The following is a 16,435-nucleotide window of genomic DNA, read 5'->3' on the forward strand; positions in this document are numbered from 1 at the left end:
GGCCCCTGTATGATGTTTGCTAAAAGTAGTGGCCTACAAATCTGTAGGTGAACAGGAGATGTCTGGACTGACAGCCCTTGATGCAAGGATTATCTGAGATATTGACCAGGGTATATTATGTCCCTAATTTTTTGAAAGTCCATTTGTCAGGTGGCCCCTTCTCATTCAACAAAAATCATATAATCATCTCAATAGAAAAGACACTTGATAACATTCAACTTTGCTTCAGATAAAAATATCTCAACAAATTAGGCATGGAAGAAATGTACCTCAAAACAATAAAAAACATGTATAACAAATCCACAGCTAACATCACATTCAATGTGAAAAAGTCAAAAGCCTTCTGAGATCTGGAACAAGATATTTTTGAACACTTTTTCCAGTTTTATTCAACATAGTATTGGAAGTCCTAGCCAGAGCAATTAAGTCAGAGAAATAAATAAAGGGCATACAAGTTGGAAAGAAGGAAATTAAATTGTCCCTGTTTGCAGACCACATAAACTTATATTTAGAACACTCCATAGACTTCAGTGAAAAACTGTCAGAACTGATTTTAAAAACTCAGTAAAGTTGCAGGATACAAAATCAACATAAAAACATCAGTAACATTTCTATACACCAATACCAAACAACCTGAAAAAATATCAAAAAAGCAATTTCATTTACAGTAGCTACAAAAACCCTAGGAATAAATTGATCTAAAGAGGTGAAAGATCTCTACAATGAAAACTACAAAACATTGATGCAAGAAATTGGAGAACACACACACACACACTCACACACACACACACAAAATAGATATTCCATGTTAATGGGTTAGAAGAATAAATGTTAAAATGTTCAGACTACTAAAAGCAATCTACAGATTCAAGGCAAACCCTATCAAAATACCAATAATATTCTTCATCGAAATAGAAAAACAATTCTAAAATCTGTAAGGAAACAAAGAAGATCCAGAATAGCCAAAGCAATTCTGAGCAAAAAGAACAAAGCTGAAGGCAGTATATTACCTGACTTCAAAATATACTACAAAGTTATAGTAAACAGTGTTATACTGGCATAAATATAGTCACATACACCAATGGAACAGAATAGAGAACACAGAAATGAATCCACATATTTACAGCCATCTGGATTTTTGACAAAGTCATCAAAAACATACAATGGGGGAACAAAAGTATTTAAAATAGATGGTGCTGGAGAAACTGAATATCCATATGCAAAAGAATGAAATTAGACCATTTTCTCTCACCATATACAAAACTCAGTTACAAAATGAATTAAAGACTGATATGCATGACCCAAAGTATGAAAATACTAGAAGAAAACCTAGGGAATACTGTTCAGGACACTGATGTAGCCAGAGGATTTTTGGATAAGACCTCAAATGCACAGAGAAGAAAAGCAAAGATAGACAAATGGGATTATATAAAACTAAAAACTTCTTCACAGCAAAGGAAGCAATCAAGTGAGTGAAGAGTTAACCTACAGAATGGGAGAAAATGTTTGCAAACTATCCATCTGACAGGGGATTACTATCCAGAGTATTCAAGGAACTCAACCAACTCTATAGCAAAAATATTTAACAATCCAATTAAAAATTGGGCAAAAGATCTGAATAGACACTTACTAGAAGATATGCAAATGGCAAACAAGTATATGAAAAGGTGCTCAACATCATTGATCATCAGAGAAACACAAATCAAAACTACAGTGTAATATAATCTCACTCCTGTTAAAATGGCTTTTATCCAAAAGACAGATAGTAACATATGCTAGTGAGGATGTGGAGAAAAGGGAACACTTGTACACTGTTGGTGGGAATGTAATTAGTACAACCACTATAGAGAACAGTTTGGAGGTTTCTCAAAAAACTAAAAATAGGCTACCATATGATCCAGCAATCCCACTGCTAGGTATATACCCAAAATAAAGGAAATCAGTATATCCAAGAGCTATCTGAACTCCCATGTTTATTGCAGCACTGATAACAATAGCCAAGATTTGTAAGCAACCTAAGTGTCCATCAACAGACAAATACATAAAGAAAATATGGTATATATACACAACGGAGTAGTATTCAGTTATAAAAAGAACAAGATTCTGTCATTTGCAACAACATGGATGGAACTGAAGGTCATTATGTTAAGTGAAATAAGCTAGGCACAGAAGACAAACTTTGCATGTTCGTTTTTATTTGTGGAAGTTAATACTTAAAATAATTGAAGTCATGGAGTTAGAGAGTAGAATGATGGCTACCAGAGGCTGGGAAGGGTGGTGGGGGCATGGAGGAGAAGTGGGGTTAGTTAATGAGTACAAAAATATGATTAGACAGAATGAATAAGATCTAGCATTTGATAGTATAACAGGGTAACTACAATCACCAATAATTTATTTTACATTTAAAAATAGCTAAAAGAGTATAATTGTCTTGTTTGTAGCACAAGAAAGGATAAATTCTTGAGGCAATGAATACCCCATTTACCCTGATATGATTACTATGTATTATATGCTTGTATCAAAATATCTCATCTACCCCATAAATACATACACCTACTTTGTACCCACAAAAATTAAAAATTAAAAACAAACAAATGAAAACCAAAAATATAGATATTCTGTTCTTCAGATGTTCCCTTAAAGAAAGTAAAAAGATGAGCTAAGCATTGAAGAAGATAGGTGCAATGCATTTATTTGTGACAAAGAAAGAATGTGTATGTGTGAACACACACACAGTATTTATCCTCTCACATATTGCTTAATGATTATCAGGTATGTTGTTTGGTATCTAGCTATTCAAACTCCCCTCCTATAATCTACAAGTCTTGTAGTTTAGCCTTTCCTAGAACAGATGAGGTAATAAGCAAAAATAAGCTTCTGTAAACCACATAAATAAAGCATTTCCTACCTTTGTGGAGTTCTGGAAAACTGTAAAAATGATCCAGGAGGCTAATATAAACAACAGTGCCAATAGTGACTTATAATTTATCATACTTATTTTCATGATTAGGATCCTACAAGAGACAATACAAAAACAAGCACAAAAACATACAACAAAACAGAAAAGCAAACAAACATGGGAAACATTTGAAATTTTTTTGGCTCATGATTACTTTTTAGCCTCAGATAAATAACTCCCAGAAATAAACCTTCACCCCCGCAAGCTGTACTTGGTATCTCCCAGGTGCTCTCTTTTAGCTATCTGCTTGTACATTCTACAGAACAGATAATTCATGGAGCCCACTGTGATCTTTAAGAAATCGAGCAGCTTAAGGGCCTGAAGGATGCAAGCTTGCTCGTGTCTAGATGAAGTCTCCAGACTATTTGTCACCTATCAGGTTCCCTGTTCTATTCCCTTAAACTCAAGGGCAGACACAAAATACTCCAGCAAATATTAACACTGAGAACCACATCATTACAGTGCCTGTTGAATGCAAATTAGTTTTTCTGTTTCATTAATGCCAATCTATTAATATGTCCTCCTTTTCTGTTTTAGCAGGCTTTCTAGCACCCCCTCAAGCTTGAAAAGAATTATTTTAAAACATTTCTTACTTAAAAAAATTTCAGGCTTTATCAGTATTTTTCCATGATTCATCTTAACATTTCTCTTTGCACCGGAATTCCAAGTTCTCTTTTAACTTGGAACTTTAAACTTTAACATCAGATTGCTTGAATGCTGCCTTTCTAAAACTTTCCATCCCTCAAAATTTACCCTCCCCTAGAAGCACCTTTCACCCCAGATCCCTAGTTTATACATGGGCATTAGATGTTTCTGCACCCAAAAATAAATGTCACACCTTTCCCTCACCTTCCCAATTTTACAAATTTTTTCATACCTTTAGTTTACAGATTGTTCAATCCCATACATAGACTCTCTGGCGAGCTAGGTGTTGAGAATTTCTTCTGAAGCCACCAGTGTGCTACTGGCATACCTCTTGTCTATACCAAAATAAATTGCAGATATAAGTTGCAGTTTGTTTACCTTTAGCATGGATTCACAACCTTCTGCTTGTTTCAGCTAAGACAGAAGTGTCAGCCACGTCAGCTCCACCTTAAGGAGGGGCCTGGATCACAAACTGTAGTTATTAGCTCAAGCAGAGGTAGGAAGGAGAAATGAAGTGCTCTGCATAGTAGGTTATATGATTTCAAATTCCTGAAGTTTTATAAGTCTAATTCTAGTTACAATAAATAACTGATGAGAAAAAGAGTGTTTGATAAATAATTGTATTTAGTTAATACAATTTGATAAATATTATAGTTACAATAAATAACTGATGAGAAAAAGAGCCACAAGTTTGAATGATTGAGAGTAATCATCAACAGAAAGTCAAACTTTCTAGTTTCCATCTAGCGTTATCATCAAGACCCAGTTGGCAGGATTCAAGTGCGTATTATCTCATACATAGTAGGTTTCAATACAATTTGCTGAATTGAACTAAAAGAACTTCAAATATAACATAGGGAAGACAATAATATTAATTGCATCTGAGACTAACAGAGTGACAGCTTGTAGTCATGGGTTTGAATCCATCTGGGATTTGTATTCTTGATCTGATGAAAACAGTGCTGGAAAGAGCAGGCACCCAGACAGCTGCACCAGTGCCCACAGGAAGCAGTAGCTGCTGGCCCTGTGGCTCCGTCCATGGGTTGATTACTGCTGCCCTACACAGGAGGGCATGCCCATCATCTTTCCATCTTATTTAAGCATGCCCATCAATCTTTCCAGTCTTATGTTTTTAAAAAGATGGAATCAAGACCAGTTTCACAACTGGTCTACTTGTTTCAGATCTTGAAATTCTTCCAACATCTTTGATCCTGTTCTACCAAATTCACCTTAACAATACTTCTTTATGTCTTTACTTGATGACCTTTGGAAAAGCTGTTTTAACATTATAAAACTGGGTGTAGGATTGTTAAATTTTTCACTGAGGAGCCTATAATAAGAAAAAAGTATTTGCAGTGGGTTTGGTTTGGCTGTTCCTTAGAGGACTGATGCCAGCAACCACCCAAGTTCACAGTCTACTCTGAGACATATAGATTTATAGATTTTAATTTGGTTTGGTCACATAGATTTTGAAATCTAATGTTAACCTGGAGTCTGTTTATGAGGTAGGCACAATAGATATGCTTGACTTAAAGAACCAAGAGTACAAAAGAAAGTTTGAATGATTTGTGCAGGTCATCTGATGAGCTTTGAAACAGGGCTGAATCCAAGATTCCTTTCATTTTGATCTCTAACACTGTGTGTTTATAGTGTATATGTATAACAACATAAGCACAAAGAATGAAAACTAGGAAGTTGGAAAAACTATCTTGAAGTCTTTATACCATGTGTGAATTGGGATAATATTACTTGAAGGATAGACTCTGATTAATTAAGAAAAATATTGTAACCCTGGTATAACCACTAAATATTTCTTTTAAAAAGTGGTATACATAATAAATCAACAATGAAGATTAAATGAAATAATAAAAAATGTTTGATTAGCCCAATAGAAGGAAAAGGAGGAAAAAAAGAAGTGGAACATAGCAAACTGTCAATATATTCTTAAATTCAAATATATGAACAGTGATCTGAAATCTGAATGATATTAACCAGGGGTGGACAAACTTTTTCTGTAAAGAATCAGATAGAAAATATTTTCGGAGAAAGAAACTATAAACAAGAAAATGTAATGGGTATATTAAAATTAACCTTGTGATATTCAGTTGGAATTAGAATAATCAGTATGCACTCAGTTTTTTGATGGATAAATATGCATTTTTATGCATACATGGGTTCATGCACACAGATGTATATTTTCAAGCTCTGTCCATAGAGAAGCCCTAGAAGCAATGACACCTAGTGCCTAGACCTTGGTTTCTTAATTCTCCAGTAAAGGGAGCCAGAATTTCTTGGAGAAGTGGCTGGTTGATTCCATCACTTTGTCAGGGGATATGAAATGAGCCTGGAGCATCTCGGGGTGCTAGGAAATGCCTTTTAAAAAATGGAGGTACATGTCAAAATGGCCCAGAAGCTAACCTGAAAGAGCTCCTGATGACCAAAGTTGCAACAATTTGAGCCACAAAATAAATAACAATTGTTTTGGAATATATATTAATCTACACTCACATTTCAAAATACAATCATTGTTCTCACATTTCAAAATACAATCATGCCTTCCCAACAGTCCCTCAAAGTCTTAGTGAATTTCAGCATTAACTCAAAAGTCTGAAGTCCAAAGTCTCATTTGAGACAAGGTAAGTCCCTTCCACCTATGAGCCTGTAAAATCAAAATCAAGTTAGTTACTTCCAAGATACAATGGGACTATAGGCATTGGGTAAATGTAAAAAAATTCCCTTTTACATTCTAAAAGGGAAAAATTGGCAGAAAGAAAGCAGCTACAGGCTTCATGCAAGTTCAAAACTCAGAAGAGCAGTCACTAAACTTCAGAGCTCCAAAATAATCTCCTTTGACCCCATGTCTCACATCCAGGGCACACTAACGCAAGGGGTGGGCTCCCAAGGACCTGGGCAGCTCTGCCCCTGTGGCTTTGTGTTGAGTGCCTTTGGTTTTTCCAGGTGCAGAGTGCAAGCTGCCAGTGTATCTACCATTCTGGGGTCTGGAGGATGGTGGCCCTTTTCTCACAGCTCCACTAGGCAGTGCCCCAGTGGGGACTCTGTGTGGGGGCTCCAGCCCCACATTGTCCCTCCACACTGCCCTAGTAGAGGTTATCTAGAGGGTTCCACTCCTGCAGCAGACTTCTGCCTGGACATATAGGCTTTTCCATACATCCTCTGAAATCTAAGTAGAGTCTCTCAAGCCTCAACTCTTGCACTCTGTGCACCTGCAGGCTTAATAGCCTGTGGAAGCCACCAAGGCTTATGGCTTGCACTCTCTAAAGCAATGGCTTGAGCTGTACCTGGGCCTCTTTGAGCCATGGCTGGAGCTGGAGCAGCTGGGATGCAGGGACCAGTGTTTTGAGGCTGTGCAGGGTGACAGGGCCCCGGGCCTGGCTCACAAAACCATTCTTCCCTTCTAGGCCTGCAGGTCTGTGATGGGAGAGGCTTCCACAAAGTTCTCTGAAATGCCTTTGAGGCCTTCTCCCCATTGTCTCCACCTGCAGGCTTAACACCCTGTGGAAGCTACCAAGGCTTATGGCTTGCACTCTTTTTGCATTTGGCTCCTTTTTACTTATGCAAATTTCTGCAGCCTTCCTGAATTCCTCCACTGAAAATGACCATTTCTTTTTACCATATGGCCAGGCTGCAAATTTTCCAAACTTTTATACTTTGCTTCCTTTTTAGTATAATTTCCAGTTTTACATCTTTTTTTTGCACATGCATACGAGCATAGGTTGTTAAAGTAGCCAGGCTGCTTCTTGAACACTTTGCTGCTTAGAAATTTCTTCCCCCAGATACCTTAAATCATCACTTTCAAGGTCAAAGTTCCACAGATCCCTTGGACAGGGGTACAGTGCCTCCAAGTTCTTCACTAAACCATAACAAAACTGACCTTTACTCCGATTCCCAGTAAGTTCCTCATCTCCTTCTGAGACCTCCTCAGACTGGACTTCATTGTCCATATCACTACCAGTATTTTGGTGGCAACAATTTAACAAGTCTCTAGGAAGTTCCAAAGTTTCTCTTATATTCTTGTCTTCTTCTGGGCCCTCCACCCTCTGCCTGTTATCCAGTTAAAGTTGCTTTGACATTTTCAGGTATATTTATGGCAGTGTTCCACTCCCCAGTGCTAATTTTCTGTATTAGTCTGTTCTCACGCTGCTATAAAAATATTTGAGACTGGGTAATTTATAAAGAAAAGAGATTTAATTGGCTTATGGTTCCACAGGCTATACAGGGAGCATGGTAGCTTCTGCTTCTGGGAAGGCCTCAGGGAGCTTTTACTCATGGCAGAAGGCAAAGTGGGAGCAGGTGTCTTACATGGCCAGAGCAGGAGCATGAGTTTGCGGGAGGGGCTACACATTTTTAAACAACAAGATCTTGTGAGAACTCACTCACTATACAGTACCAGTGGGGGATGGTGCTAAACCATTTATAAGAACTCTGCCCCCGTGATCCAATTACGTCCTACCAGGCCCCAGCTCCAACACTGGGGATTAGAATTCAACATGAGATTTGGGCAGGGACACAGATCCAAACCATATCAGAATATAACCCATGGAATTAAAAAAAATCTATGAGTTCATATCTATACAAGTAAATAATAGCATAAATAAATGGGGTAAAATAAACAGCTGTTCCTCACAGAAGAATTCCAACTAACAAATATGGCAAAAGTGAAGGAAATACAAAGTGAGCATTAGAACTCTTCAGTAATAATTGCTGTACTCAATATGTGCTAATGAATACTAAAATCAGTGAGGAAAAGTTTGAAGAAAAACAAGTTTATTTCCACCAATATATTTATAATTTCAAAGTTAAAAATAGTAACATTAGAGTGCAGAAAATCAATGAACATCTGCTTACCCAAGTGATGATGGGTTAACATAACCAGTAAGAAGACATATCTTGGTTGGCAATAATCTGCCAGCCTTTTCTATAATTCAAAAACTCATTTAAAAGTCAAAACAATTAAAAGTCTTCTCAAATTGAAACAAAAATAGTTATACATGAAATGACCCATTTTCCTCATTCCTTCATTTACCAAATAATCTGCCAAATAGTTAATCATTTCTAATAAGACACAAATGCTGTACTGAGAAGGGCACATCACGTCTATGGTATTCTTGAAAGCAATGTATAACTTCAATGTAATTATGAGAAAATTTTGCATAGAAAAAAATTGAGTGACGTTCTACAAAATAATATTTTTCTAAAGTGTCACAATCATGAAAAACCATGTAAGACTAAGCAACTGTCCCCAGCTAAGGAGACATGATGACTAAATGCAATTTGAGATCCTGGATTGGGTCCTGAAATAGAAGAAGGACATTAACGGAAAAACTAGTAAAATCCAAAAAAAGTCTGTAATTTCACTGATAGTTACTAGTGTACCAATGTTAATTTCTTAATTCTGAACATTTGATTATTATGCAAGATGTTATTTACTGATGCTGGCTGAAGGATATATGAGAATCCTCTATACTATTTTGAAACTTTTCTATAATTCAAAAATGTATTAAAAGTAAAAAGAATTAAAAACCTTTTCAAATGGGAAAATATAATATAGTTCTCCATGAAATGATTCAGTTTCCACATATCGTATACCAAATAATTTGCCAAATAGTCCATCATTTCGAACAGGTTGATGCTGCCACTTGAACATTTCAAGTTGCCATCTGTACAAGTTTTAATCTATCAATGTCACACTGTTGTTTTTTGTTTTGCTATTTACTTATTTATATTTAAATAACTTTAGGGGCACAAGTGATTTTTGGTTATGTGGATGAATTGTATAATGGTGAACTCTGGAGTTTTAGTGTACCTGTCACTCAAATAGCATACATTTTACCCAATAAGTAATTTTTCATCCCATTTCCCTTCCCATGCTCCCTCTTTCTGAGTCTTCAAAATCCATTATACCACTCTGTATGATTTTGGGTACTCATAGCTTAAATCCCACTTATAAGTGAGAATATGTGGTATTTGGTTTTCATTCCTGAGTTATGTCACTTAGGATAATACCCTCCAGTTCCATCCGTGTTGCTGCAAAAGATGTAATTTTGTTCTTTTTAAATTTATGTATATATTTATATTATATATAATATAAAATTTATATAAATTAAATATTTATTATATAGTATATAAATTATATATTATATATTATAATTATATATAATATATATTATTTATAATTATATATAATTATATATTATAATTATATATTATATATATTATTTATAATTATATATAATTATATATTATATATTATTTATAATTATATATAATTATATATTATAAATAATTATATATTATAATTATAGATTATATATATTTATAATTCTTTATATATTATATATTATAATTATATATTATATATAATTATAATATATAATATATATGTGATTATATATTATAATTATATAACATGTGATATATGATTATATATTATATAATTATATATAATATATAATTATATATATAATATAAAATATATAATATACAATTATATATATTATATATAATTATATATTATATTTATATATATTATATAATTATATATAATATATTTATATATATTATATAATTATATATAATATTATATATTATATATTCTGTTATATATAATATATAATGTATCTAATGTATTATATTATATATAATATATGTTATACTATATAATATATATTATATTATATATATTATAATATATATTCTATATTTTATTATATATAACATATATTATAATATATATAATTATATATATTATACATAACATATACTATATATAATATACATTATTTATAATATATTATACTATATACATTATATATAATATATAATACTATATACAATATATGTTATAGATTATATATTATACTATATACAATATATGTTATATATAATATATATTATACTATATATATGTTATCTATAACATATACTATATATAATATATATTATACTATATATATGTTATCTATAACATATACTATATATAATATGTTATATACAATATATATTATGCTATATATTATATATTATACACTATTGAACATATCAATAAATGTAATTATAATATATAATATATATTATAAATAATATATAAATTATAGATTATATATAACATATATTATCCCATATGTAAATTATAGATTATACCACATATGATAATTATCTCATATACAAATTATAGATTATATCATTTATAATAATTATCTCATATATAAATTACAGATTCATATATAATAATTATCTCATATATAAATTATAGATTCATATATAATAATTTTCTCATATATAATAATTACAGAATCATATGTAATAATTATCTCATATATAATAATTACAGAATCACATATAATTATCTCATATATAATTAAAGAATCATATATAAGTATCTCATATATAATTACAGAATAATGTATAATAATTATCTCATATAATTACAGAATCATATATAATAATTATCTCATATAATTACAGAATCACATATAATTATCTCATATATAATTATAGAAACATAATTATCTAATATATAATTACAGAATCATATATAATAATCTAATATATAATTACAGAATCATAATTATCTCATATACAATTACAGAATCATATAATTATCTCATATATAATTACAGAATCATATATAATAATTCTCTCATATATAATACGGAACCGTATATAATAATTATTGTCTCATAGGTAACTATTATTACCTAGTGGATAATAATTATTGTCTTGTCTCATAGGTAACTACTATTATCTAGTGGATAATAATTATTGCCTTGTCTCCTAGGTAACTACTATTACCTGGTGGATGATAAGTATTGCCTCGTCTCCTAGGTAACTCCTATTACCTGGTGGATGATAAGTATTGCCTCGTCTCCTAGGTAACTCCTATTTCCTGGTGGATGATAAGTATTGCCTCGTCTCCTAGGTAACACCTATTACCTGGTGGGTGATAAGTATTGCCTCATCTCCTAGGTAACTCCTATTACCTGACGGATGATAAGTATTTCCTCATCTCCTAGGTAACACCTATTACCTGGTGGATGATAAGTATTGCCTCGTCTCCTAGGTAAATTCCATTACCTGGTGGATGATAAGTATTGCCTCGTCTCCTAGGTAACTCCTATTACCTGGTGGATGATAAGTATTGCCTCGTCTCCCAGGTAACTCCTGTAACTTGGTGGATGATAAGTATTGCCTCGTCTCCTAGGTAACTCCTATTACCTGGTGGATGATAAGTATTGCCTTGTCTCCTAGGTAACTCCTATTACCTGGTGGATGGCAAGTATTGCCTCGTCTCTTGGGTAACTCCTATTACCTGGGGGATGATAAGTATTGCCTCGTCTCCTAGTTAACTCCTATTACCCAGTGGATGATAAGTATTTCCTCGTCTCCTAGGTAACTACTGTTACCTGGAGGATAATAAGTATTGCCTCGTCTCCTAGGTAACTCCTATTAACTGGTGGATAATAAGTATTGCCTCCTCTCCTAGGTAACTAATATTATCTGGTGGTTAATAAGTATTGCCTCGTCTCCAAGGGTAACTGCTAATACCTGGTGGATAATAAGTATTGCCTCTTCTCCTAGGTAACTACTATTACCTGGTGGATAATAAGTATTGCCTCGTCTCCTAGGTAACTACCATTACGTGGTGGATAACAGTATTGCCTCATAGGTAACTACTGCTACCTGGTGGATAATAAGAATTGCCTCATAGGTAACTACTGTTATCTGCTGGATAATAAGTATTGCCTCATAGGTAACTACTGATACCTGCTGGAAAATAAGTATTGCCTCGCAGTTAACTACTGTTACCTGGTGGATAATAAGTATTGCCTTGTGGGTAACCACTGTTACCCGGTTTATAATAAGTGTTGACTCTTGGGTAACCAGTGTTACCTGCTAGATAATAAGTGTTGCCTCGTGGGTAACAATTCTTACCCTGTGGAAAATAAGTGTTGCTTCGTGGGTAACCACTGTTACCCAGTGGACAATAAGTGTTGCCTCGTGGGTAACCACTGTTACATGATGGATAGTAAGTATTGCCTCGTGGGTAACCATTGTTACCCGGTGGACACTAAGTATTGCCTTGTGGGTAACCACTGTTACCTGGTGGATAATAAGTGTTGCCTCTTGGGTAACCACTGTTACCTGGTAAATAATAAGTATTTCCTTGTGGATAACCACTGTTACCTGGTGGATGATAAATATTTCCTCATGGGTAACCACCATTACCCACCGGATACTAAGTATTGCCTTGTGGGTAACCGCTGTTACCCGGTGGATAATAAATATTGCCTCGTGGGTAACCACAGTTACCTGGTGGAGAATAAGTAATGCCTTGTGGGTAACCACTGTTACTCGGTGGATAATAAGTATTGCCTCATTGGTAACCACTGTTACCCAGTGGATAATAAGTGTTGCCTCGCGGGTAACCACTGTTACCTGGTGGATAATAATTGTTGCATTGTGGGTATCCACTGTTACCTGCTGGATAATAATTGTTGCCTCACGGGTAACCACTGTTACCCGGTGGATAATTAGTGTTGCCTCTAGGGTACCCACTGTTACCTGGTGGATAATAATTGTTGCCTCTAGGGTAACCACTGTTACCCAGTGGATAATAAGCATTGCCTCACAGGTAACCACTGTAACCCAGTGGATAATAAGTACTGCCTCGTGGGTAACCACTGTTACCCAGTGGATAATAAATATTGCCTCGTGGGTAACAGCTGTTACCCTGTGGAAGATAAGTGTTGCCTTGTGGGTAAGCACTGTTTCCCAGGGATAATAAGTGTTGCCTTGTGAGAAACCACTCTTACCCAGTGGATAATAAGTATTGCCTCGTGGGTAACTGCTGTTACCCACTGGATAATAAGTACAGCCTCGTGGGAAACCACTGTTACCTGGTGGATAATAAGTATTGACTTGTGGGTAACCACTCTTACCTGGTGGATAATAAGTATTGCCTCGTGGGTGACCACTGTTACCTGCTGCATAATAAGTATTGCCTATGGGTAACCACTGTTACCTGGTGGATAATAAGTATTGCCTCGTGCGTAACCACTGTTACCCACTGGATAACAACTGTTGCCTTTGGTAACCACAGTTACCCGGTGGATAATAAGTGTTGCCCCGTGGGTAACCACAGTTACCCGGTGGATAATGTGTTGCCTCATGGGTAACCACTGTTACCCGGTGGATAATAAGTATTGCCTCGTCGGTAACCACTGTTACCCGGTGGATAATAAGTGTTGCCTCGTGGGTAACCACAGTTAGCTGGTGGATAATACATGTTGCCTCATGTGTAACCATTGTTACCCTGTGGATAATACATGTTACCTAATGGGTAACCACTTTGCCCAGTGGATAATAAGTATTGCCCCTAGGGTAATCACTGTTAACCAGTGGATAATAAGTATTGCCTCTAGGGTTACCACTGTTACGCAGTGGAAAACAAGTATTGCCTCATGGGTAACCACTGTTACCTGGTGGATAATAAGTGTTGCCTCGTGCATAACCAATGTTACCCGGTTTATAATAAGTGTTGCCTCATGGGAAACCACTGTTACCTGGTGGATAATAAGTGTTGCCTCGTGGGTAACCATTGTTACCAGGTGGATACTAAGTATTGCCTCATGGGTAACCACTGTTACCAGGAGGATAATAAGGTCTGCCTCGTGGGTAACCACTGTTATGCACTGAATAATAAGTATTACCTCATGGGTAGCCACTGTTATCTGGTGGATAATAAGTATTGTCTCTAGGGTAACCACTGTTACCTGGTGGATAATAAGTATTGCCTTGTGGGTAATCACAGTTACCCGGTGGATAATACGTATTGCCTCATGGGTAACCACTGTTACCTGCTGGATAACAAGTGTTGCCTTTGGTAAGCACAGTTACCTGGTGGATAATAAATGTTGCCTCATGGGGAACCAGTGTTACCCAGTGGATAATAAGTGTTACCTTGTGGGTAACTACTGTTACCCAGTGGATACTTAGTGTTGCCTCATGGGTAACCACTGTTACCCGGTGGATAATAAGTATTGCCTCGTGGGTAACCAGTTTTACCTGGGAGATAATGTGTTGCCTCTAGGGTAACCACTGTTCCTTGGTGGATAATAAGTGTTGCCTCTAGGGTAACCACTGTTACCCTTTGGATAATAAGTGTTGCCTCATGGGGAACCACTGTTACCTGGTTTATTATAAGTATTTCCTTGTGGGTAACCACTGTTACCTGGTGGATAATAAGTGTTGCCTCGTGGGAAACCAGTGTTACTCGGTGGATAGTAAGTATTGCATCATGGGTCACCACTGTTACCCGGAGGGTAATAAGGACTGTCTCATGGGTAACCACTGCTACCTGCTGGATAATAAGTAGTACCACAGGGGTAACCACTATTATCCAGTCGATAATAGGTATTGCTTGTAGGGTAACCACTGTTACCCAGTCGATAATAAGTGTTGCCTCGTGGGTAATCACTGTTATGCAGTGGATAATAAGTATTGCCTCATGGGTAACCACTGTTACCCGGTGGATAATAAGTATTGTCTCATGGGTAACCACTGTTATCCTGTGGATAATAAGTGTTGCCTTGTGGGTAACCACTGTTTCCCAGTGGATAATCAGTATTGCCTCTAGAGTAATCACGGTTACCCAGTGGATAATAAGTATTGCCTCGTGGGTAACCACTGTTACCCTGTGGATAATAAGTATTGCCTCGTGAGTAACCACTGTTACCCGGTTTATAATAAGTGTTGCCTCTTGGGTAACCAGTATTACCCACTGGATAATCAGTGTTGCATCGTGGGTGACAATTCTTACCCTGTGGAAAATAAATGTTACCTCGTGTGTAACCACTGTTACCTGGTGGATAATACGTGTTGCCTCATGGGTAACCACTGTTGCCTGGTGGATAGTTAGTATTGCCTCGTGGGTCACCATTGTTAGCCCGTTGATACTAAGTATTGCCTCGTGGGTAACCACTGTTATCCGGTGGATAATAAGTGTTGCCTCTTGGGTAACCACTGTTACCTGGTGGATAATATGTATTTCCTCGTGGGAAACCACTGTTACCTGGTGGATGATAAATATTGCCTCATGGGTGAACACCATTACCGGCTGGATACTAAGTTTTGCCTGGTGGGTAACCACTGTTACCCGGTAGATAATAAGTATTGCCTCGTGGGTAACCACAGTTACCCAGTGGATAATAAGTCATGCCTCGTGAGTAACCAGTGTTACCCGGTGGATAAGTGTTGCCTCGCGGTTAACCACTCTTACACAGTGGATAATAAGTGTTGAGTTGCGGGTAACCACTGTTACTTGGTGGATAATAATTGTTGCCTCGTGGGTAACCACAGTTGCCCGGTGGATAATAAGTGTTGCCTCTAGGGTAACCACTGTTACACGGTGGAGAATAAGTGTTGCCTCTTCAGTAACCACTATTACCCATTGGATAATAAGTATTGCCTTGCAGGTAACCACTGTTACCTGGTGGATAGTAAGTACTGCCTCGTGGGTAACCACAGTTACCCAATGGATAATAAGTATTGCCTCATGTCTAACCACTGTTACCCAGTGGATAATAAGTGTTGCCTCGTGAGTCACCGCTGCTACCTGGTGGATAAATGTTGCCTCAGGGAAACCACTGTTACCTGCTGGATAATAAGTGTTTCCTCGGGGGTAACCACTGTTACCCTGTGTCTAATAAGTGTTGCCTCGTGGGTAACCACTGTTACCCAATGGATAATAAGTATTGCCTCATGGGTAACCAGAGTTACCCTGTGGATAATAAGTATTGCCTCGTGGGTAAC

General features: G+C 36.1%; 2 protein-coding genes across 14 annotated transcripts in view, besides 2 other annotated features; one reads left to right on the forward strand and one right to left on the reverse strand.

Moving 5' to 3' along the window:
* Positions 1–16,435, forward strand: part of NXPE2 (neurexophilin and PC-esterase domain family member 2) — a 349,427-nt gene that overhangs the window by 127,480 nt on the left and 205,512 nt on the right. The window lies entirely within an intron of this gene.
* The window catches only part of NXPE4 (neurexophilin and PC-esterase domain family member 4), a 107,660-nt gene that overhangs the window by 21,165 nt on the left and 70,060 nt on the right, over positions 1–16,435 (reverse strand). For 5 of the 12 annotated variants that reach the window (XM_047427150.1, XM_047427148.1, XM_047427151.1 and 2 more), the window contains exons 3-4: positions 3,837–3,939; positions 2,909–3,014 (exon numbers count right to left, since the gene is read on the reverse strand). In XM_047427150.1, the coding sequence (XP_047283106.1) occupies positions 2,909–3,004 (96 nt within the window). In that variant the 5' untranslated portion in view covers positions 3,005–3,014; positions 3,837–3,939. Of the gene's footprint in view, positions 1–2,908; positions 3,015–3,836; positions 4,032–4,496; positions 4,794–16,435 lie in introns of those variants that run through there. The other 7 variants (NM_017678.3, XM_011542882.3, NM_001077639.2 and 4 more) reach the window with 3 other exon arrangements.
* Positions 11,231–12,430: an enhancer, noted in NCBI's record as "BRD4-independent group 4 enhancer chr11:114473708-114474907 (GRCh37/hg19 assembly coordinates)". NCBI's record gives its function as "activates an origin of replication core promoter dependent on BRD2, P300/CBP, MED14 and CDK7 cofactors, and independent of BRD4, by STARR-seq in HCT116 cells {active_cell/tissue: HCT116}" and the evidence as "EXISTENCE:reporter gene assay evidence [ECO:0000049][PMID:35650434]".
* Positions 12,574–12,623: a silencer, noted in NCBI's record as "silent region_3916". NCBI's record gives its function as "represses an Ori minimal core promoter by ATAC-STARR-seq in GM12878 lymphoblastoid cells {active_cell/tissue: GM12878}" and the evidence as "EXISTENCE:reporter gene assay evidence [ECO:0000049][PMID:35858748]".

The sequence above is a fragment of the Homo sapiens genome, chromosome 11 (genome assembly GCF_000001405.40).
Source record: "Homo sapiens chromosome 11, GRCh38.p14 Primary Assembly".
In the NCBI taxonomy this organism is placed as follows: Eukaryota; Metazoa; Chordata; class Mammalia; order Primates; family Hominidae; genus Homo; species Homo sapiens.